Here is a 23,219-nt window from a genome sequence, read left to right as displayed (position 1 = left end):
GGATGTGTGGCTTGGGAGGTCTTGGGCCCCTCACCCTGACGCGGGGTAGCTCTGCGCACTTGGGAGATGAGCTGAGTACTCTCTTTCGACTGCACCAGAGCTCAGCTTCTCCCCCACCCAGACCAGCTTCCTGTGCTCCCTCACAGGGGTCTGTTTGAGAGGGCTCCTGGGAGACCCCCGGCACACCCGTCTCTCTCTCTCCAGCATGGCTTCAGGGGAACTGACCCTCGACACGGGAATCAAGCACTCCTGGGCCTCAGGTGGGCAAGTGTCTGGGCAGTGCCACAGGAGGCAGCTGAGGGAAGCAGAGTTGGGGAGAGCTGAGGACTCCAGCACCGGCTCAGACCACACGTCCCCAGACCCCAAATAGGCCCAGGCCACGGGTGTCTGTGGTGCTGCTGCCTCCCCTCGGCCACCTCTGGTGCCCAGGCCACCTGCATCCCATCCGACAATCACAGGGCAAAGATGGCCTCTGGTCCACCCAGGTCCACCCATGCTCTCACAGTGAACCCCAGTCTCTTCTAGCAAGTTCAGCCTGGCCGTCCAAGTTCAGCTTCCCCATCCCACCTGCGTGCTCGGAGCAGACAGCACAGGGCCGAGATTGGTGGCGTTATCATCCTCAAAGCCGTGAGCAAGAGGCCCCAGTGGGAGAGCGGGCTTGGTCCAATGGCTAAGAGGTTCTATAAGCCAGAGTCCCCAGGTTCTAATCCCAACCCAGCTACTGGCTAGAGAGGTGCTCTTGGACAAGTTACTTCATTTTGAGCCTCAGTTTCCCAGCCTGGGTGATGGTATGACAGCTCCCGTGGGGTGGCAGGATTAAAAGGACCGATGCAGGGAGAGGAGCAACACATGGTCATTTGAACATAAAGGGGTCTGTGTGCTCATTAGTGTTGAGTTCAGACTCAGGTCTTGCTGGGCCAAGAGATGACTCGGGCTCCAGGCAGCATTTAGCCCAGAGCCTCCCAAATGTCATGCGTCGCATTACCTGGGGGTCTCGTCCCAGTTCAGATTCTGATTTAGTAGCTGTGTTTGTGTCCTGGGGCTGCAGTTACAAATTGCCACAGACTGGAGGCTCAAAATAGCAGAAATCCACGCTCTCCCCGTTCTGCCAGCCAGAAGTCCCAAATCAAGGTGTGGCAGGCCACCCTCCCACCGAAGGCTCTGCGGGAGGATCCTTCCTGCCTCTTTCAGCTCCTGGTGGCTGCAGGCACCCCTTCCGTCTCTGCTGTGTCTTCACGTGGTCTCTTTGGTGTCAAAGCTTCCACTTCTACTCTTCTAAGGACATCTGTAATGGCATGTAGGGCCCACCGGCTGGCCCATTAGTGGCAGGGCACCATCATTCCCTGCGTCCTCGCCGGCCCCCGTGTAATGGGACTGGACAGCCAGGAGGAACGGCCCAGGGACCCAGCCCCCGTCATGAAGGCAGGCATGGGAGTGGGACCATGTAAAAGGCTCTAGTGGAAGCGGCTGCAGTGGGGAAGGTACCGGAACCCGAGAGGGCTGTGCCGCTGCAGGGTGCTGGAGCCGGGCTCCTGTGATCGCTCCTTCCCGAACCCACCTCGCTCAGCACTACAGCATCCCACCCTCCCACCCCGGAGGCGGCCACAGAGTGCTTTCCACAGAGCCACAGCTCAGCCGAGTCATGGGGAGACGTGGCTGCAGGGAGGAGGGGCTCAGCAGTGGGAATGAAACAGAGTGGGACTGCACCCTCTAAAATTACGCAAAGATTTATTACAACAGTGTTCCTGGTGCCTGGTATCTTTGCAGAGGATCCTGTAAGTGGATAAACAGGAAGGAGATTTAATTAGGTGCGTGGAGCGGAGGAGTGGTGATTAGCAAACCGGTCCTTTAATGCCCTATATTACATGCAGTTAATTACACAGATTGCAGGGGAATTAATGTCGGGCTCTGCTAACGATTTTTTTGGGAAGAATAATTTTATTTACACAACATGGGCTGCAAGAATTATTGAAATGAGAAACATGGAAATGGCAAAGGGAAGGAGGACTCTGCTGTCCCTGGACAGTGGGGGCTGTGAGGACCCAGGGGTGCCCTCAGCCCTGGCACGCCTGGCAGAAACCCATTGGCCCCGCATTCTTGCATGAATGACCTGGTGAGGTCAGCTGGGTTGGGAGGACCCTTGTGTAACACTGCCTGCTGCTCGCCGCTTCTCCAGGAGCCACAGGGCTCACTTTCCACCAGCCTCCCCACCCCCTACTGGGGTGCAAAGTGTCTGAAGGGCCACTAATCTGCAGGATGCTGGGGAGACCAAGAAGAGACAGGTATGGCCCTGTAGTCTGGGTGTTTATGGTGCGCAGGCAGAGAGAGGTACCGAGGGATGCGCCACAAGCTTCTAAGTGACCTGGAGCAGGAGAAACAGATTGGAGTCTGTGGAAGTAGGTGGAGGAGGGGGAGGGAGAGGGTGGGTAGAGGGGGTGTGAGAGGTGGAGGGGGAGTTGGGGGGAGGGCCAGGGGCGGACCTGCAGCGCCTGGAAGGGCTTGTAGGGAGAGCAGCGCCCCTACACGCTGTTTCTCGGCACTCGTGGGAGTTCTGCTGTGAAGTCAGCCAGTGCAAAGGCCACTGCTGTCCCCATCCATCTCCAGCCATTCCCCAGCCCTGGCCTCAGCTGCAGGAGGGTCTCTCCCACTGTCTCCGGATGGAGCAGGGTGGGATCCGCAGGAGTTGGGTTTCCTAGCAACAGGGGATGAGTCCCGAACCAGGTGCCGGCCCAGATTTCCAGATTTGATTAAATTGCTGCCAGAAGGTCAAATACATCACCACAATCACCCTTCATGGAGTGGTGGGCACCCAGAGCTCCTGCGTCCCGTGCATGGGGGTGGGCTGGAATCCAGATGGAAACTTAGTTGAGAGAAGGACAGCCTGGGGAGCGGGGGAGAGAGAGAGAGGAGACCCCAGGGTCCCCCGACTTGTGACAAGCTGCGGTGCTTTGGGGTGCACACCCCATGGTGTGTGCCTGTGAAGCCCACTGATTCCCAGACACTGGGTCTGGACTATACCTGGGACTGGACCAACGTGACACCCGGAAAGTTCTTCCGCAGTCACCAAGCGGGAGTGACCTGGGTTCTCGTGGGCGGGGCGCGTTGGCGTGGGTCTCAGTGGGTGTTGTGGAAGCTGCCAGTACAAATGGACTCAGGTCAGACTCTAACAGAGGGAGTGGGCGACCATGAAGCAGTGGGGCTCGCGTCCACAGGCCTGCAGCAGAGCTCATCGCAAGGCTGCCTCCAGGTTGCAGGATTCCAGGCACTGGCAGAGGACGCTGACTCCACTTCACCTTCCCCGCCCTCGTGGCTGGCAGAGCCTGCCTCCATCTCCAGTGCCCATTGCCCGCCAGCCCCACCCTTCCGCCCCTTCCCTGTCTGCCCCGTGCCTCCCTCTCTCCTTCCCTGCACCTTCCCGGCAAGACCCCAGTCCCCCAGTCCTCCACCCAGGCCCTGTTGCTCCCACATGTCTGGGTGTGTCCCTGGGTGCTGCTGGGCACTGATGGGCCCTGGGGCCTATGCAGGGGCACCAGGTGACACCTGAGGAGGAAAGAACCAAGGACCCCAGGGCACCAAGCTCAGCCCCGCCCCACACCACCCCCACCTCTCCTCCCTGAGGAGTTGCTGAAGGCCTCTGGGCAGGGTGGCTGTGGGGCTCCACCGGGGTCAACCACAGCAGCCTCCACAGCTCCTTGGGGCCTCACCCATGGGACCCAGGATGCAGACTCGCCTGCAGCTGGGAGGAAGGCGGGGCTTCTGTGGGCGCAGGCGTGGCATCGGAGGGCGTGGCTGTGCCCTTCTGGGACTCCCCTGGTGGGAGAAGCCTCTGCACAGGGCCTCGCCCCTGCCTCCCCTCCCAGCAGCCCCTCCTGGGGCAGTACCACTTTCCCCAGATCCCCTGCCTCCCACCAACATGGCCCCTTCGCTGTGACTCACCTGGGATGGGACAGACTTTCCAGACACCACGTCTCTCAAGCGCCGGACGGGAGGAGCGGGTAAGGGCGGGCAGCATGGGCCTGGCGCTGCAGGGAGGAGGCGGTGCGGGCTCCGTGACCAGGGATGGCCTTGGCCCTGGGAAAGACTCGGGGGAGGGGGAGCTGGAAGTTTCAGGAAATGCGCTCAGTGGGCACTCCCTCCTGTCCGAACTCCCTCCAAGGCTCTGTCGTCCCTGTCCCCCTTCTCAGGGGGCGTTTTCTCCTCCCTCTGTGTCCTCCGCTCCGTCATCGTGGGCAGCGTGGGAATGGAAAGCCTGGCTCTGGACATGCAGCCATGGCTCCTGCTCTGTAGCTTCTGGAGCTCCCACTGCCCAGGCCTCACTGTGCATCCCTTGGGGCGTCTCCCCCACAGCAGGATGGCTGGGCCGCGGCTCCCTCGTCACTGTCCACCCCGACGTGCCTCGCTGCCCTGGACCGTTGTCCTTTATGGACCTCTAAGTTCACAGAGGAGAAGGGTCCCTTTGCTCGGACCCCACATCTCCCGGGTGGGATGGAATTTGGCAGAGCTGGAGAAGGGAGCCTGGGACCCACTGAGTCCATCCCTGATGAAGACCTGTAGCCCACAGGAGAGGATTGCTCCCCAGGGGCCCTGATTTTTGCCAGCAACCCCTCCTCTCCACCCACCGTCCCTGGGGGGACTTGCCAGGACCCTGGAGGCCGTGGGGCCTGGTGGCCTGGGGCATGTCCCTATGATGTACTCACTGAGCCATCTGGGAAGAGCTCTGACCTTGCTTCTTCCCTGTGAAATGGGAATAATACCACCGTGGCCCTCCGTGGGCTGCTCTGGGGCCTCTGCAGGTGGAACACCCACAGGCCTGCGGTGCTGCCACTGGACGCCTGCCCTTTGGAGACGTCCCCTCCTGCCGCACAGAGAGACTTGCAATCAGCACACCTGGCGAAGAAGGGCGGCTGCTGACGCTGACGGCGGCTGCAGGAGCTGCTTCAGGCTTTGTAAAGGGCCCGGCAATCTTGTCTGGATGGTAATTTGCAGTGTCTGTGGAGAAAGCAAATGTCAGCTTCTGCTGGCCCTGGACAGGCTGATCACAAACCCCTAATTAGTGGTGTCTGAAATAATGAGATTTCCCTGTGTTCTCATTACATGGAAATTACTTCTGAAAAGCAACTCAGAGGGACATGTAGGCACGAGACAACCCTTTCCAGAGGGGCACCGGCCATTGGCCAAGAGTAGACCCAGGCTGGAAGGCTCGGCTGAGAAGCAGGTGGGCGTCCTTGGCACTGTAGGAAGAGCCTGGCGTTGGTGGAGCTGTGACACCTTTGCCTCAGACAGGGGCCCTCAGGAGAACAAAAGCCGAGGCAGGGCTGAGCTGGGGTAGCCCGGGAAGTCAGCTTGGGAAGCTCCTGTGGGGGTGTCCACGGGGTGCATCCCACCTTGGAGGACACTGACCTGTGGCGGCGGCCTGGGCAGCAGGGGGAGCTGGAGGCAGGAGGGGTAGTGGTTCCCCCGAGGAAGCTGCTTAGGGAAAACGAGTTGGTCTAGCCCCTGCTCAGCCAGACTGGATCTGTGGCGCCTCCATGCAGGGCCGTTGCTTGCTTTCTGCTTAAAAGGATGCTTTTTGGCAAACCTCAGGATGCCGTTATAATCTCATGGGCTCCCCTGAAGTGGAGGGCCGCTGGCCATGGCCTCGAGCCAAGCCTGTGCCTTGCCCGGGCGTGTCTCCCACTGGTGTCTCAGGGATGAGGCTGCCCCTGCGGCCGGCAACACAGGTTGGCCGGGCCCTGACTCTTGCTGTCTAGGACGCAGTCAGATGGAGTTTGCTTCCAAATAGAGCCTCATTAACACAATGATTAAATGCCTGATGGCTCTTTTTCTTCTGCAAACTATATTTTAGGGCCGGGCTTTGCCAGCAGCCATGAATATTTCATGGTAGAGTGAGCTCCTGCTGCCCCAGCTGCACCAGGCATGTCCCTGGGCATCCTGAGGCCAAGCCAATGGGCGCCCGGCTGACTCTGGGACCGTGGGACCCACAACCCACACGATCTGAACCTCCATGGCTAAGGGCCCGCCGCTGGCCTGCTGACGTCATGGATGCTGGTGTAACCTCGTGACCTGGAAGCCTCACTATTTTCGGGACCTGGGACTCTGCACTCAGCTTAGAGTTGCCCTGGGCCTTCCCCACATGGAGCTCAAATGCGCCCCCCGCCCCACCCCCTGTAGGAAGCGTTTCCCGCCTATCCCAGAGGCTCCTGGTGACACTGGAAGATCTGTCCCTGCAAGCCCCAAGCCATCTATGAACATTTGAACATCTGAAGTCTACAGATGCATGGATTTATGAATAAGTGTGTGTTTATTATGAAGCTGCTTGGCACATAGTAGATGCTCATTAAACATCTGAAACCTGCATGAATGGCTAAATGAATGAGTGTGTGAATAGGAATTAGTTACTTAAAATACACAGGTGAGCAACTGAGCGCCACTGTGTCTTTTGTAGCTAGAAGCCATCCGTAAACGCAAGCTAAAATCCGCAATGCATGTTGACCATGCGGGGCAGTGACCTGTGCTGCTGCCTGGCCATCCCTGCTCCTGCTGGCAGAACTGCTTTGGCAGCCAGGTTCCAGCCCCACCCCTCAGCTAAGCATCCATGCTCTGCACTCTGGGAAGCCCGGGGCATCCCCTTCCACAGCTTCCTTGCTTAATTGGTGTTTCCTCGGTTGCTCATCTCAGGAAGAGGCTCCTTACTGGCATGAGGTGCCCCTGCCCACTGTATCATGGACAGCTTTTGTGAAATGATTTCCCTGATAATGAGAATCCCAGGAAACCTCATTAAGCCCCACAGTACTAATTAGGGTTTGAAATCATTCTGTCTAGGGCTGGCAGGACTAGATGTTTGCTTTCTGCCTAGACAGAGACAGTGATTAAGTGAATGAATGAATGAGTCTATGAGCAAATGATCAGAGGTCTGATGTGCTGGGTGCCTGGTAGGCTGGCCAGAAACATTTTGAATGAATAAGGGAAGGAATGTATGCATGAATGCTGACTCAGGGAAGGGAGGGAAGGTTCCTGGAAACCTGTGTGGTGACTGTCAATGCACTCCAGGTCTCCCTGCCTTCTGATAGCCCTGGCTACAGGCTGTTCAGCTGCAAACAGTCCAGGTCCCCCTCTGTGGGTGCCAGCTCAGTGGACTGGCCTTCAGCAGGAGGTCATCCCCTCACCACAAGGACCATGAGGACAGCCCTTCTGCTGCCTGAATGCCACCCTCTGCCCTCTTTCCTCTAGCTTCTTTTTTTGAATTTAACACACTTTTAAAAAGCAATTTTGATGGCGGGGCGTGGTGGCTCATGCCTGTAATCCCAGCACTTTGGAAGGCTGAGACGGGCAAAATACTTGAGGCCAGGAGTTCGAGACCAGCCTGGCCAACATGGTGAAATCTCATCTCTACTAAAACAGAAAAATTAGCCGGGCGTGGAGACGCATACCTGTAATCCCAGCTACTCTGGTGGTGGAGGCAGGACTCTGGTGGTGGAAGCAGGAGAATCACCTGAACCTGGAAGTCAGAGGTTGCAGCAGTGAGCCAAGATCGTGCCACTGTACTCCAGCCTGGGTGACAGAGTGAGACTCTGTCTCCAAAAAAAAAAAAAAAAAAAAAAAAAAAAAAAGCAGTTTTGGGTTTCCAGAAAAATTAAGTGGAATTGAATGGAATTCACTCCTGGTGTCGTACATTCTGTGGGTTTGGACAAATGTATAATGACTTGTCCCCACCGTTTTTGCATCATACAGAATTGTTTCACTGCCCTAAGAATCCTCCGTGCCCCATATATCTGTTACGGAAACACTGCCCTAAGAATCCTCCGTGCCCCATATATCTGTTACGGAAACATCTAGATCCTGCGGCTCTCTGCACAGAAAGCCAATCACTGAGATGACAAGTATTGCTGAGGAAGAAAGCTGTAACTGGGTGTTGCAGCCGAGGAGAGGGGAGCTCTGTCTCAAATCCATCTCCCTGACTGACTAAAACTAGGGGTTTATCTAGCAAGGAAGAAACGTAACCGTGTATAGGACAACAGGAACTCAGAAAGGGAAAGAAGCAATCAGAATGAATAAGGGGTCTGGTCTCATTGTCTGGAGGTGGTTACCTGGTGAGTTTCAGTTCTTTGATACTTTTTGAGAGGTCTGGGGGTTCTTTCCTGAAGAAGGAACTCAAATAAAATGAATGTAAGTTTTAAGCTTTAAGACCAGAAGGGTCAATTTCTATGTTTATCAAAAAAAAAAAAAAAAGTCTGAGACAATTGGGTCGGGTTCCTATTCGTCCCTCCTGCTCCAACTCCTGGCAGCCAGGGATGTTTTCACTGTGTCTGCAGTGTGGCCTTTTCCAGAATGTCATGTCGTACAGCATGTGGTCTTTCCACACCGGCTTCCCTTCGCTTACGATATGCGGTGACGTTTCCTCCATGTCTTTTTCGTGGCTTGATAGTACACTTCTTTTCAGGGCTGAACGAAATTCCATTGAATGGATGTACCACGTTTTGTCCAGTTTTTAAAATTTATTATTATTTTTTTGAGACGGAGTCTCCCTCTGTCCCCCAGGCTGGGGTGCAGTGGTGCGATCTCAGGCTCACTGCAAACTCTGCCTCCTGGGTTCATGCCATTCTCCTGCCTCAGCCTCCCGAGTAGCTGAGACTACAGGCACCCACTACCACACCCGGCTAATTTTTTTTGTATTTTTTTTTTTTTTAGTAGAGATGGGGTTTCACTGTGTTAGCCAGGCTGGTCTTGATCTCCTGATCTTGTGATCCGCCCGCCTCGGCCTCCCAAAGCACTGGGATTATAGGCGTGAGCCGCCGCGCCCGGCCCGTCTTTTCATTCTCTTACAATTCTTTCTTAGAGCAGAAGTTTTATTTTTATTTTATTTTTTGAGACAGAGTCTCACTCTGTCACCCAGGCTGGAGTGCAGTGGTGCAATCTCACCTCACTGCAACCTCTGCTTCCCAGGGTCAAGCGATTCTCACTCCTCAGCCTCCCAAGTAGCTGAAATTACAGACACCTGCCACCACACCTGGCTGATTTTTTGTATTTATAGTAGAGATGGGGTTTTGCCATGTTGCCCAGGCTGGTCTCGAACTCCTGACCTCAGGTGATCCACCCGCCTTGGCCTCCCAAAGTGCTGGGATTACAGGAGTGAGCCACCGCACCCAGTCCCCAAATTTTTCTTTTAAAGAAGGCGTCTTGCCCTGTGACCCAGGCTGGAGTGCAGTGATGTGATCGTGGCTTGCTGTAGCCTTGACCTGAGCTCAAGTGATCCACCTGCCTTGGACTCCCAAAGCGCTGGGATTACAGGCATGAGCCACGGTGCCCCGCCAGAAGTTTCACTTTTAATGAAGTCCAGCAGATCCATTTTTTCTTTCATGGATGGTGCCTTTGGTGTTGTATCTAAGAAGTCATCGCCAAACCCAAGGGCCCCCGTTTATTTTTTCCTCAGTTATCTTCTAGTTCCATGTTTTGCGTTCAGGTGGATGATCCATTTTGAGGTAATTTTTGTGAAGGATGTGAGGTCTGTGTCTGGAGTCGTTGTTTCTCATGTGGATATTCAGGGCTGGGCCCTCTTCTGAAACACAAAAGGTCCTGGATGGAGTAGCTTTTGTGCCCACTGGTGCCACCAGCCAAGCTTGGGGTGCAGAGGAGTCCTCTGCTGGGCACCACGGTAAGGGGGAGCGGGGCAGGGGTGTGGCCAGATACCTCGGGCATCAGATGGCCTTCCCCGCTGTCCTCAGGCAGTGGCCTTGGGAGGTTTCCAGCGAAGGTGTGGTTCTGAAGAGGCCTTGGCCTGAGCGAGATGGAGGTCATCAGCACAGAGGTCAAGGTCAGACTGACCATTGATGGCCCTCAATGCACTCCAGGTCTTCCTGCCCTCCTACAGCCCTGGCTGGAGGCTGCTCGCCTGTGAACACTCCAGGCCCCCCTCTGCAGGTGCCAGCTCAGTGGACTGGCCTTCAGCAGGGGGTCATCCTCCCACCGCAAGGACCATGCAAACCGCCCTCCTGCTGCCTGAATGCCACCCTCTGGCTTCTTTCCTTCTTGGAAGAAATGCCCCCTGGTTTTGACAAAAACTGTTTTCAAAAGACTCTCATTGTCAAAATAAGCCCAGGTCCAGAGGATTCTCTGAAGGGTCTGGAAATCGGATCCTGGAACCTCTCTTCTTTCTGGAGCTTTCCATGTGGACGTACTTGCTGCAGGGTGTCTGGTGTCTGCCTCTCAAGAGGCCTCTGGCCCCCCAAGAGGATTGTCCGGGAACTCAGCTCCATCCCTTGCCCTCCTCAGCATCCTCACAGTGTTGGGGGCAGGGATGCACACACATCAAATGCTTTCATTCCACCTTTTCTTTGTTTCTGCTGCCATCCAGGCAGGGGGCTCAGTGGGGTGGACAGACTCATATGCTGATGAAGCTGGCTTTTGGGGTCAGGACAGGCTGAAGACTAGGCCACTCCCCAACTTTCCTTGTGTGTTTCATGTTGTGGGGGCCAGCCCCAAGCACTGGGGAGACCAGAGGGGCGTGGGGGCGGGCACAGATGTGGACAGTGAAGCCAGTCTGGAGGCTTGGGAAGGCTTCCTGGAGGAGGGCCATCCTTGTGGAGGTTTGCAGGAGAGGGAAGAATCAGCCGTGAGTCTGGGTGAAGGAAGGGGCACCCAGGGAGCGTTTGGGGCATTCCTGGAAGAGACGCCAGCAAGGGCTCGTGTGAGAAGGTGCTGCCCATGTCCTCTCGCCAAGGACCACCAGGGACAACCTGTGCCAGAACAAGTCGGTTTATCGCTCATGGCAGCAACAGGCTACGCATACCCTGGGGACCCACAGGGCCTCTCCAAGAGGGGGTTAGAAAGGGCTTGTAATAGGATGTGGCTTGTGTTGAGTGACTTTTGGGGGCATTTGAGAAAGTGGGGTTTGCTCTGGGTTGGTACTGTCAGGATGCAGGCTGACCCCGTGGCCAAGCATCTCAATAAACCTTATCTGCAGGGAGAGGGGACGAGGGTGAGGCTGCAGCCGTGACCCGTAAAGAGGCAGCAGGGCTCAGACCAGCCAGGAGAGGGGGGTTTGAAGCTTTTCTGATGGGCCCAGAGACCTGGCTTTTGCCTGTGCTCAGATGACATTCTGGGCTGGCTGAGTTCTGTCCCTCCCTTCACTGTCCCAGTGTGGCCTTGTCTGAGGCTGGTGCACTGTGAGACAATTCCTGCTAACGGGAGGGCATGGGGGCTCAGCTGTGGCCCCAGGGAGGGTCTGAGGCATGAGCCAAGGAGCTGGCGGGCAGCGAGAAGCCCCTGTAAGCTGGAGCTGGTCAGAGCTGAGCACGCTCAGAGGAGTCAGAAACCTGCTTTATTCAGGGGTGGAGACCCAGGCTTAGGCCTCTGGAAACCCTGGAGCCGAGGCCACACAGATGTTTGGCTTCTGGGAGTTGGAGGGAGGAGAAATGCTTTCTGAGAGCCTGTTCAGCTGCAGCAGCCTGGAGCCCCACTGCTGAGGGCCACTGGGCATTCAGCTCTGAGCACCTGCCTGGGTTCAGGCACTCCGGCTCCACTGGGATCCTCCAGGCTTTAATTCCTACACCTTTTTTTGTTTCTCTTTCTCTTTCTCTTTCTTTCTTTCCTTCTTTCTTTCTTTCTTTCTTTCTTTCTTTCTTTCTTTCTTTCTTTCTTTTTCTTTTTCTTTCTTCTTTCTTTCTTTCTTTTTTTTTGACAGGGTCTTGCTTTGTCACCCAGACTGGTGTGCAGTGGTGCCATCTTAGCTCACTGCAGCCTAAGCCTCCTGGGTTCAAGTGATCCTCCTGCCTCAGCCTCCCAAGTAGCTGGGACTGTAGCCGTGTGCCACCACGCCCATCTAATTTTTGTGTTTTGAATACAAACAGGGTTTCATCATGTTGCCTAGGCAAGTCTCAAACTCCTGAGCTCAAGCGATCCACCTGCCTCAGCCTCCCAAAGTGCTAGGATTACAGGCATGAGTCACTGTGCCTGGCCATTTTCATTTATTTTTAAGTTCTTTTTTAAGGTTAAGAACACCCAGTTCAAACAGTGTGGTTCTCAGCCCAGCTGGAGTCTCCTGCTCCAGACATTCATGGGCCGTGGAGGGCTGGGCTCAGGCCTGTCCTGAGTGTGGCTGTGTGGGGGGCCCAGGGTGTCAGCCTCACCACAGCCCTCATCAGCCCCTGGCAGGTGTTCCAACGCTAGCTCCCCCACCCCACCTGCCATGTGCCTTGGACCCCTCCCTTCCTCCCATTTTTTTCTGTAAAAACCAGAAGTGTCGGGAGGGGAAAGAACAACCTTCCCTGAGCACTCGCTGAGCGCTCAGCTTATTGCCTCCTCTTGTTCTTGCCGTTTCCAGGGAGGCAGGGAAGATTTTCTCCATTTTATAGGTGAGAACACTGAGGCTCTGCGGGGTCAATGGCTCGATGCCCAGGGCTGGGTGTGCAGTCTGCACTGCCTCCTGGAAGTAGCTGGTACTTGGACTGAATTTGAAATAGGATAACTCAAGCATCTCATTCACCCCGGAATCCCTGATGTCCTGTTTTGCTCACTTGGAGGGCATCTGGGGGATGTCTTCTCATCCGCTCCAAAGTCCTGCTGGAGGAAGCTGGAGGTGAGTGACGGCCAGGGCTGCCAGGGACCAGCATGGAGGCAGTCTTGACTTCGAGTGTCTGGCAGCGGCTCCCTCCAATTAGCAGGAGAGAGCAGGCACTGCCCACAAGAGCCTCTTGGCAATTAGAAGGTCATTATCATATTCCTTCTCTTAATTACATTTGGGTGAGGCTGTGGCAGCTGCAGCCAGGGAGCATCTCCTGGCCCCTAGGGATGTGTATCCACTTGGAAAAGAAAGAGGGAGGCCTGCGGGCTCAAGCACAGGGAACTTGCACCGTCATTGTTGCTATGTGGCACAGCTGGCCCATGCCTGGCAGGCTGTGGGCTGCACGCATCCACCCAGAAGCTGCACTAATGAGGGAGTGTGGTCAGGCACCTCGCAGACACCTGAGCGATGAGCCTTCTGGCTGTGGCTGTGGATCCCCTGGCCAGGATCATGGCCTGGTGAGCCTCAGAGGTGGCTCTTGTGCCTCTTGGTGACTGATCTGTCCATCCATGTCCTGTTTGCAAACCGGGATCCACGCCCTGAGCCACCAAGGTGTGATGCTTCCTGGAACAAGCCGTGGGCCTCTGTGGAACATGGCAATGCATGAAGCAGGATCTCAGGATTCTGTAACACTGTTGACAATGATTAAGACCCCAGAAGGTGCTGATGTTGTCCTTGCACTCACACCTGTCCTTCCAAGGACCCTGCAAGTCAGCATCATTCTTTACACTTTGTATTAGTCTGTTCTCATGCTGCTAATAAGACATACCTGAGACTGAGTAATTTATAAAGAAAAAGAGGTTTAATGGACACATAGTTCCACATGGTTGGGGAAGCCTCACAATCATTGCCAAAGGCAAAGGAGAAGCAGAGGCACATCTTACATGGCGGCAGGCAAGAGAGCGTGTGCAGGGGAACTGCCCTTTATAAAACCATCAGATCTTGTGAGACTTATTCACTATCATGAGAACAGCATGGAAAAAACCCACCCCCATGATTCAATGATCTCCCACTGGGTCTCTCCCACAACACATGGGAATTATGGGAGCTACAATTCAAAATGAGATTTGGGTGGGGACACAGATAAACTATATCACACTTTGTGAAGAGTGGCTTGTCCAAGGTTACCCAGCTGGTGGTTGGTGAGGACGAGAATCAAATCCACATTTTCGTGGCTCCATGTTCTTCCCTCTGTGCCACTTCATGGTCGGTGAAAGAGCCCTGCCCTTGGGGGAAGAGAGTCTGTTTAGTTCTCAGCCCCACTGTTTACTGCCTGTGGGATCCTGGGAAGGGGAGCCTCTCCCCTGAGAGCCATGGCTGATGCTCCCTGATGAGTGTTGCTCAGGAGCTGATCTAGGGGTCTAGGGGGCTACAGTGAAAGAGCACACACAAACATGCTCTGCAAACTGCACTCTGCACATGCAGGTGTGTATGAGGAGAGAATTGAGAACCCAGACCTCTGACTCATAGGCTTGATCCTGGAGCCCAGGGACACCTCAAAAGATAGTGTGTGGGCCCAGCAGTGAACCCCAACAGGATGTGAGGGACTGGATGGAGGCCAGGACCTCAAACTCCAGCCTTGGTTCTCTTCACTCTTCTGGTGTTAGTGTGTGCCCTGACAATCAGCACCTTTGCTTTAGGCATTTATCCCCCATCTACCCACTCCACATGCATCATCCACCCATCCACCCACTCATCCATCCATCCACCCACTCATCCATCCATCCACCCATCCATTCACCTATCTACCCATCCACCCACTCATCCATCCATTCATCCATCCATTCATCCATCTACCCATCCATCCACCCATCCAGCCATCCACCCATCCACCCATTCATCCATCCACACATTCATCTATCCACCCATCCACCCAGTCATCCATCCATCCACCCATCCATTCACCTATCCACCCATCCACCCACTCATCCATCCATTCATCCATCCATTCATCCATCTACCCATCCATCCACCCATCCAGCCATCCACCCATCCACCCATTCATCCATCCACACATTCATCTATCCACCCATCCACCCAGTCATCCATCCATCCACCCATCCATTCACCTATCCACCCATCCACCCACTCATCCATCTATCCATCTACCCATTTGCCCACTATTCATTCACTCATCCACCTACCCACCCACTCTTCCATCCATTCACCCACCCACCTACCCATCAACCCATTCATCCACTCACCCACACATCCACCCATCCATCCATCTTCCTTTCTTCTTTTCTTTCCTTCCTTCTATCCATCCATCCATTCACATATCCACCCACCCACCCACCCACTCATCCATCCATCTATCTTCCTTCCTTCTTTTCTTTCCTTCCTTCAATCCACTCACCCATCTATCTACCCTTCCACCCACTCATCCATTCATTCACACACCAACCCATCCACCCATCCTTCCATACATCCATCCACCTGTCGATCCATCTTTCTTCCTTCTTTTCTTTTCTTCCATCCATCCATCCACCCATCCATTCATCTTTTTTCCTTCTTTTCTTCCATCCACCCATCCATCCATCCATCCATCCATCCACCCACCCACCCACCCACTTATTCATTCCTCAAGCACTAATTGAGTAGCTATTACATGCCAGGAGACAGAGAAGCCAGCACAACCAAACAAGACTCTGCCTAGAGTCTGGTGGGGTGAGAGGCATTGCTTTGACTACTGTATAAATCCAGCTGTAACACAGACTATGGGAAGTGTCAACAGGATACAGACCCAGAAAGCCTAGAAGGCATCCTGGGTCCTGACTTTGAGCAAGTTACAGGCTTATTTGTCCTCTAGTTTGCTCACCTATAGACTGGGAATAGCAATAGTGCTGAACTTATATACCTATTGTTAGGTGTCAATGTGTTCATGAGTGTGAAATTCTCAGAAGCATGTTCAGTAAGTGTTTTTCTATTCCTACAAGTATTATCATCACTACTATTGTTACTACGGCTGCCACGAATGATGGCCCCTGAGCTGTGAGAGTGAGGAGTGGGAACCCTGGCTGACTGGGGGTGGGAAGAGTGCCTGGCCGCCGTATTGCAGAGCTAATCCGGCCAAACATGATCCTGCCCCTCCCTGAATTTTCTTTCTGAGCTTCCAAGAGAGCACCTTTGTGGTGGTGAAGGGAGGCTGAGAGTCACAGATGTAGAGTCAGTGTGTGACTGAGCTGCTGGGTGGACAGTTCACGGGGAGGGACACTCTGCAGGGCCTGCAGCCTTGTCTTTGGACATTCATCTTTCCAAGCTCAGAGATCAGAGTTAGCGGTTGTAATTTCAAAACTTAAAAAAAAAAAAGCTGTGCAAAGGCTTAGGGACTTGGCCTGCCCTGCCTAGGTGACATGCTGGTTATGGGCTCAGCAGAGCCCAGCAGGGGCTGCTCCTCCGGTAACACCCGTCCACCTTCTCTCCCAGGAGGCCAGGTCGGGGGCTTCCGTGTGGCAGGCCAGCCCTGCCTTCTCGCCAGTCTCACGCTCCCCTGGGTGCTCTGAGAGGTGGCTTGGGAGCTGTGTCTCTCTCCTCAGTGGCATTCTGGAAGGCTGGGTGTGTCCTCACATGGCTCTGCTTCCTTCTGGTATGGGCGAGAATTACGCTCGCTTCCTTAATCACCCAAAACTCATTTTTATGGATCCCTGGGAGCCTTTGGTGCTGTTAGGTACAGGTGACACCATGGGGCGTGGATGGAAGCTCTGTGGAGGGGGCCTGGGAAAGGTGCCTCCTCCCCACCTACCTGAGGCCGTGGGGTGTGGATGGAACCTTTGTGGAGTAGGGCCTGGGAAAAGCAACCCCCGCCACTCCCTACCTGACACCATGGGAGGTGGATGGAAGCTCTGTGGAGAGGGCCTGGGAACAGTGAACCCCCCACCTACCTGTCATCTCATATGATCACCCTGACCCCCAGAAGATTCTAGTGCTGTTCTCATTTTAAGATGTAGAAACTGAGGCTCAGGGAGGTGAAGTAATTTGCCCAGGAGCACAGTGAGTAAGTTGCAGAGCCAAGATTTGAAACCAGGTCTCACAGCTCAGCCACACCCTAACTGCCTGCCTCCCCAACTTCCTGTGGCTGGTGGAGGAGTGTCTTGGGGCTGCGTGGCCAAATACTACAGACTGAGTGGCCTAAAGCAACAGGAGTTGATTCCCTTTCAGTTCTGGGGCCCAGTAGAATCCAGGTGTCACAGGGCCACACCCCCTCGGGAGGCTCTGGGCGAGGATCTTCCTGCCGCTTCCAGCTCCGGGTGGCCCCAGACACTCCTTGGGTTGTGGCCGCATCACTCCAGGCTCTGCCTCTGTCTTCACAGGGCCTCTGTCTTCTCCCAGTGTCTCTCCTCTGTGTGCCTCTTATGAGGACACTTGTCATCGGATTTAGGGCCCAACCAGGTAATTCAGGGCGATCTCATCTAAAGATCCTTAATTTATTACATTTGCAAAAACCCCTTTTCCCATAAGGTCCCATTCACAAGTTCCAGGGGTTAGAACATGGCCCTGTCTGTCTGGGGCCACCGTTTAACCTTCTATAGTTGGGAACAGGTGGAACATACTTCCAGGAAAACCCTGCCTGAGGCTCCTCATCCCTCTCAGAGGACTAGAGATCCCGGTGTCCCTGCAGCTGGCGGCCTCCCCGTGGCCCGTGAGCACCCTGTGCCTAGCATGGTTTTACAGACAGTACCTGGCTTATGATGGTTCCACTTACAACTTTTTGACTTTACGATGATGCCAAAGGGATGCATGTCCAGTGGAAATAGCACTTCCCCTACAACCATTCCAGTTTTCACTATCAGTACAGTATTCAATATACTATATGAGATATTCAACACTTTATTATACAAGAGGCTTTGTGTCCGATGATGTTGCCCAGCTGTAGGGTAAGGTACGTGTTCTGAGCACGTTTAAGGCAGGCGAGGCTGAGCCAGGGTGCCCAGTGGGTGAGGTGCATTTTGACTTAGGGTATTTTCAATTAATGACGGGGTTATTGGGGTGTGCACCTGTCTTAAGTCGAGGAACGTCTGTGTTTTATTTTAGCCCCCATGAGTTGCTTCTGTGTGGCCTCCTGTCCCCTTCTCCTCCCCTGACCTGTTCCCAGTGCGCAGGACGCTTGTCCCTTTTGCCTCTGCGGACCTGTACCTGGTACAGGGCTCGAACATGGTTGGGGGCCAGTTATGTTGGGTCCACAAAGGGATGGCCAAGGTCAGTGCCAAAGCAAGTCAGGCCGCGTTTCCCCCACCGTGTGGAGACCCCTCCAGGGACCCCGTAGCCCCGCATACCCTGTGGCAGCCCCTCTGTGGCCGGGGCCCAGCTGCTGAGTGCAGCCCATTAGCCCCACTCTCCTGTCTCTTCCTATCTCTGTTGGCATTGTCGGAGACATGTGAACAAACAGCGGACCCAGACAACCCTCCCGGGTCTGGGAATTTCAACAGCATTTCTTTAAAGTGTCATAGCTGATTGGCAGCAGGTGCCTCTGATGGTTTCTGGGGGAAAAGAAAGTAATTTGGAGCGGAGAAATAGCTATTGATTGAGGCAAGAAGTTACGGCAGCTGGGCCGTCTCCAGTTCCTGGGCTCCGATCTCCCTCCCACCATCGAAGGCTCCCGAGAGCTTTCTTGCTTAGCGGATGTCCTCGATGCTGTCAACTCGGCAGAGCCCCCGGCAGCCCCACCTCCTAGGCTTGGTGGGGTTGAAGCACTCATGTGGAGGCTCCTGTCTGCTCTGCCGGCCTGGCTGGGTCCTCCTGCTGCGGTGGGGGAGAGGACCTGTCCCGAGGCACAGAGGCTTCGGCACAACATTTTGACAATCGTAATGGTGAAGGAAAGGCCAAACGCACATCTGCATCCATGGACAGCATATTGCTGAGTGAAACAAGCAGACTCAGGCCAGCATGAAAAATCCCATCCACACAAGCACAGCGCTCTGACTGTGTAACACAATCTGCAGGCCGGGGAGGGAGGGCCTCAAGGCTTCCACAACTTTTCTCTGGGTGGGGGATTTGGAGAGGCTTCACTTCCTGGATGAAACGAATGGAGGACGTCCAGGAAGTGACGGGAAGTGAGGGGATGGACGTGTTTGGGTTCCCCCCAGTGAGCTCTAATATGTTCATAAAGAGAAAAAGCACTACTTTTAAAAATGCGAAGTGGCCGGGCATGGTGGCTCACTCCTGTAATCCTAGCACATTGGGAGGCCGAGGTGGGTGGATCACATGAGGCCAGGAGTTCGAGACCAACCTGGCTAACATGGCAAAACCCCATCTTTATTAATAATACAAAACTTAGCTGGGCGCGGTGACACGTGTCTGTAATTGTAGCTACTCAGGAGGGTGAGACACGAGAATCGCTTGAACCCAGGAAGTGGAGGGGCCGAGATCGCACCACTACACTCAAGCCTGAGCGACAGAGTGAAACTGTGTCTCCAAAAAAAAAAAAAAAAAAAAAAAAGCAAAGTTCTGGCCCAGGGGGCTGCCTCAGGCTGCTGTACCACCTTTGGCCTATGAAAACATGTCCTGGTGCCTGTGTGGGGCTGTGAGCCGGGAAGGAGTGCAGAGGCCAAGGGACTCCTCTCAGTGGCTGCCTGCTGTGGGGGAGTGGGCGAGGGTCTCCCAGGCTCCTCCCATGGCACCTGCATCACATTCCTCCACAGCTCCCGGCCCCCGAGGAAGGAGGCACCAAAGCCCATGCAGGACCCTGTGGGTGCAGCAGCCACAACCACGAGGGCCCATGGGGAAGGCTCTCTCAGGGCACTGGGAACCAGAAGTGGCTTGTCTCATGTCTCTTAGCAGATGGGAGCTCTGGGGGGTCTTGCCTGGATCCCTTGGCTTTCTCTGGGCAGATAGAGGCCGCCCCTGTCCCTGGCTGGCTCTGAGCCCTTCAGGGCTCTGCTGTGATGCTCTGGGGGTCCACTATATCCCCCTCTAGCCTGATGACCCAGCCTCAGCTGCTGGCAGGGTCTGCTCTTGGCAGCCACCCTGGGCCCTGGGCTAGGTCCCTCCCCGGGCAGGGCTGGGCTGGGATGGGACAGGCTGAGCCAACCACTGGCTGATGCAGGGGTGCAAAGGCCCGGCCCCCTTGTTCAGGACAGTTCAGGACAACTCTGAGGGGCCCCATCTCAGCTCCAGACACCTCCCCAACCCCATGTGACCAGCTGAGGCCTTGGCTGCTGCAGGCTTCTCCCAGGTCAGCTGCACTGTCGGTCCCGTTGCCTTCCTCAGTCCTTACAGGCCATCTCCTAGGGCGCTTCTTGCCTATGACCCTCTCCCCGAAGAAGGAGCATCTCCAGGGAATTCCCAGCGAGGGGATGGGCCCCATCCTTCCTTCCCTTCCCACCTGCAGGCCCAGACCCTCCCCACCTGCCAGCATCCAGGTCCCCACCTGCCACACAGGAGCCTCCTGACACACCTGGGCTCGCGTGTCTGCTCTGTGGGACCTTTCCCACGGGGCTTCTTCCCTCCACCCCGCTGCTGGGAAGGAGTGCCACTGCCCCGTCCCAGCCTGGAAGCCCACGGTGGGAAGTCATGCAGACATGCTCTCCCCTGGCGTTCAAGACCCTTGGCAGGGAGCCTAGGAGCCCAATTTCCAGATTCACGTTGCCTTGAGGCTGGGCCCCAGCTCTGCAGATTAGTAACTGAGAGACAATCTTGCCGAGCTTCAGTTTCCTCACCCACAGAGGGGGCACCCAGGAGCCCCCAGCTCATGTGACTGCTGGTGGTTGAAACGAAAGGAATCTGTGAAAACACCTCGTGCCCGGTCACTATCGAGGCCGTTGCTCCGCCGTGGCTCCCGTCAGTGCCAGGTCACTATCGAGGCCGTTGCTCCGCCGTGGCTCCCGTCAGTGCCCGGTCACTATCGAGGCCATTGCTCCGCCGTGGCTCCCGTCAGTGCTGCCTTGCAAGGGTCTGAGCGTCCATCCCGATAGAGTGTCCAGCCCCCGAGGCTGGTGTCTGGGTGGCAGGGCCTGACTCTCAGTCGGTCTCCTGCACCTTGGCAGGAGCAGCGAGGGGGTGGGCCGGGGGCTCCGGCTGGGGAGGGGGAGGCTCCCCAGCTCAGCCTGGGCCCGAGTGTTCATAGGTACCAGGCCTGCTCAGAGCGCTCCTGCGCCTCGGGAGGAAACAGATGGGGCTGTCAGCTCCGCTTATGCCCAGTCTTCCCAAACCCAGCCAAGCATGCTGGGAACAGGGAGTGGCTCCTCTGCGCAGCTGGTGGGCCCCAGGTGGGCACCCCTCGGGGCAGAGTGATGCTGATTAGCAGGAAATAATGTGCAGGTGAATGGAGCTGGCCCAGCGCCCACCTCCTGGTCTTGGGGCCCTGGGAGGCTGCGGAACCGACACCAGATGTGGCCCCGCATGGCACCGGCCTCTTCCGCCAGCTTCGGGGCCCTCTGGGGCTCAGCCTTGGGAGCCGGGGATTCTGGGAAGGATTTGTCATTTAAGCTTTACATACGACGGAGCCCCTGAGGCAAGTCTGCTCTGCGCTGGGGATGCTGGGCACGGGCTGTCCTCTACCTGGCCTGCTGACTCTCAGTTTGCTCAAAGCAAAACCAATTTGGGCTCCTGATTTGTTCTCCCTCCCTCCTCTCCAAGAAATAAATTGTATCTGTTTATTGCACAAATAATACTGGCCACATAGAAAAATGAGACATTCCTGAAAACTGAAAAAAAGAGAGAAAAATCCCATCTCACTACCTGGAAGTAAACCCCCATTTATAATTTATGGATCATTCCTCCATGTATGTAAGGTGTAGCATTTTGTAGTATCCACATTTGCTGTTTGTAACCTGTTAATTTCACTCAACAGTTTACTGTGGACACAGAGTTGTGTCAATAACTGCGTTTCTACCCATGGTGTGAGCCGCTGCCTGTGTGGCGCTGGACTGAGCACACACACCGGCATTTACGTCTACTTCCCAGTGTATTCAAACACGTGTGCACACCCTTCATTATTTCCCGAGGATACACTTCTAGAAGTAGGATTTCTGCATCAGAGGTTATGTATGTATATATATTTTTCCATAATAAATATATTTTTATAGGTTTTGTTTGTTTGTTTGTTTTGAGACAGAGTCTTGCTCTGTCGCCCAGGCTGGAGTGCAGTGTCAAGATCTCGGCTTACTGCAACCTCCACCTCCTGGGTTCAAGCAGTTCTCCTGCCTCAGTCTTCCAAGTAGCTGGGATTACCCGTGCCCGGATAATTTTTATATTATTAGTGGAGACAGCGTTTTACCATATTGGCCAGGCTGGTCTCAAACTCCTGACCTCAGGTGATCTACCTGCCTCGGCCTCCCAAAGTGCTAGGATTACAGGTGTGAGCCACGGTGCCCGGCCTTTGTAGTGTTTTTTTAAAAAACTAGTTTTATGGAAATGTAATTCACACCCCATACAATTATCCCAGTATATTCCCCACCCACCCTTCTTCCAATACATTGAGATAACTTAGTAGATGCCAGCTCAGTGGTTTCTAGTATATTCAGTGTTCTACATCTACCACCACAATCAATTTTAGAACATTTTCTAGACCTGGTACCTCTGGGCACTCATTGCCTCCCACTCCCCAAGCCCTGGTGGCCACTCATCTGCTCTCACCTGCGGGTTTACCTATTCTGAGCGCTTTGCACTTGGGAAGTCCTGCTACACCCGCCTTTTGTGCGGGGCTCCTTCCCCTGAGCATACTGTGCTGAGGTTTGCCCACGTGGAGGCACATGTTGGAACATCGTTCCCTGCTACTGCCTGGTAAAATCCCATCATGTGGAGATGGCACGTGTATTTTTAAGGGGTTTAATGAACGCTACCACGCAGGGCTGCTGAAAGGCTGCCTTCATTTCTGCACAGCAGGAGACGAGAGCGTCCACTTCTGCCTCCTCTTTTAGGTCAGTATGTTCTCCTGGGGCCGGCGTCAGGCGTGTCCTCGTCTGTAGGCTCAGTTGGGGGTGTCTGCGTTAGGGATGATGGAGGGTGCCGTGCAGACGGCATCACAGCTGGGGTCAGATGGGACCCCAGGAGGCTGGTGATGATCTCCAGGTTGTCACAGCAGTCTTAAAACAATCTTCAAAGCAGAAGAATTTTAATTCACCTTAATTTAAAAATGCCATAGTATAAAGCGGATTTTTTTTTTTTTATTTTAGTTGATGTTGGAAAATTGGTATATATATCTCCTGAAATCTAACACACAGCAGAGGGCTGGCCACTTCTGAAAAAGTGTGGTTGCTACGACAATGCAGAAAGAGGCCGTTAGGATTTACCACATGGCGGAGGACTCAGAACCTGCCCCCTCTCCTTTGGGTCACCTTTGTGCCCGCAGGTTTAGGGGAGCTGCGACCGCCTCCTCTAAGCCTGCAGTAACCTCCCTCCTGCTCACTGCTCCCTGGGGTTCCACCCTCTATCCAGTACTTTCTGGGTTGGGCAAGGCCTGTGTCCAGCCTTCCTGTCGCGTGGGAACTCTGGCCTGCCAAGGCCAGACCCGCAATCCAGCTACTTTTGCTTTGCCTGTGGGTTGCAGCTCTGGGATTCACCACTCCAGGCCAGCCTCTGCTGAAGTCATAAATACGAAGCCTAGAAATTACAGCTCCGGCTGCCAGTGCCGAGTCGAAGCTCACACCCATCCCCTTCCCTGGCCCCGTCTGTCTTCCCTTGCACAGTTGGGCTATCCCCTTCCCAGCAGGAAGCGGGTTTG

At 54.9% G+C, this 23,219-nt stretch overlaps 3 annotated features.

Annotated features, from left to right (window-relative positions):
- Positions 5,144-5,695: an enhancer, noted in NCBI's record as "H3K4me1 hESC enhancer chr9:138262745-138263296 (GRCh37/hg19 assembly coordinates)". NCBI's record gives its function as "activates a minimal SCP1, AML or CMV promoter by ChIP-STARR-seq in primed H9 embryonic stem cells {active_cell/tissue: H9 hESC(primed)}" and the evidence as "EXISTENCE:reporter gene assay evidence [ECO:0000049][PMID:30033119]".
- Positions 5,696-6,248: an enhancer, noted in NCBI's record as "H3K4me1 hESC enhancer chr9:138262192-138262744 (GRCh37/hg19 assembly coordinates)". NCBI's record gives its function as "activates a minimal SCP1, AML or CMV promoter by ChIP-STARR-seq in primed H9 embryonic stem cells {active_cell/tissue: H9 hESC(primed)}" and the evidence as "EXISTENCE:reporter gene assay evidence [ECO:0000049][PMID:30033119]".
- Positions 12,310-12,811: an enhancer, noted in NCBI's record as "H3K4me1 hESC enhancer chr9:138255629-138256130 (GRCh37/hg19 assembly coordinates)". NCBI's record gives its function as "activates a minimal SCP1, AML or CMV promoter by ChIP-STARR-seq in primed H9 embryonic stem cells {active_cell/tissue: H9 hESC(primed)}" and the evidence as "EXISTENCE:reporter gene assay evidence [ECO:0000049][PMID:30033119]".

Source organism: Homo sapiens, chromosome 9 (assembly GCF_000001405.40).
Source record: "Homo sapiens chromosome 9, GRCh38.p14 Primary Assembly".
NCBI classification, from domain to species: Eukaryota; Metazoa; Chordata; class Mammalia; order Primates; family Hominidae; genus Homo; species Homo sapiens.
The sequence above is the reverse complement of the archived record's forward strand: the minus strand, read 5'-3'. Positions and strand labels throughout refer to the sequence as shown.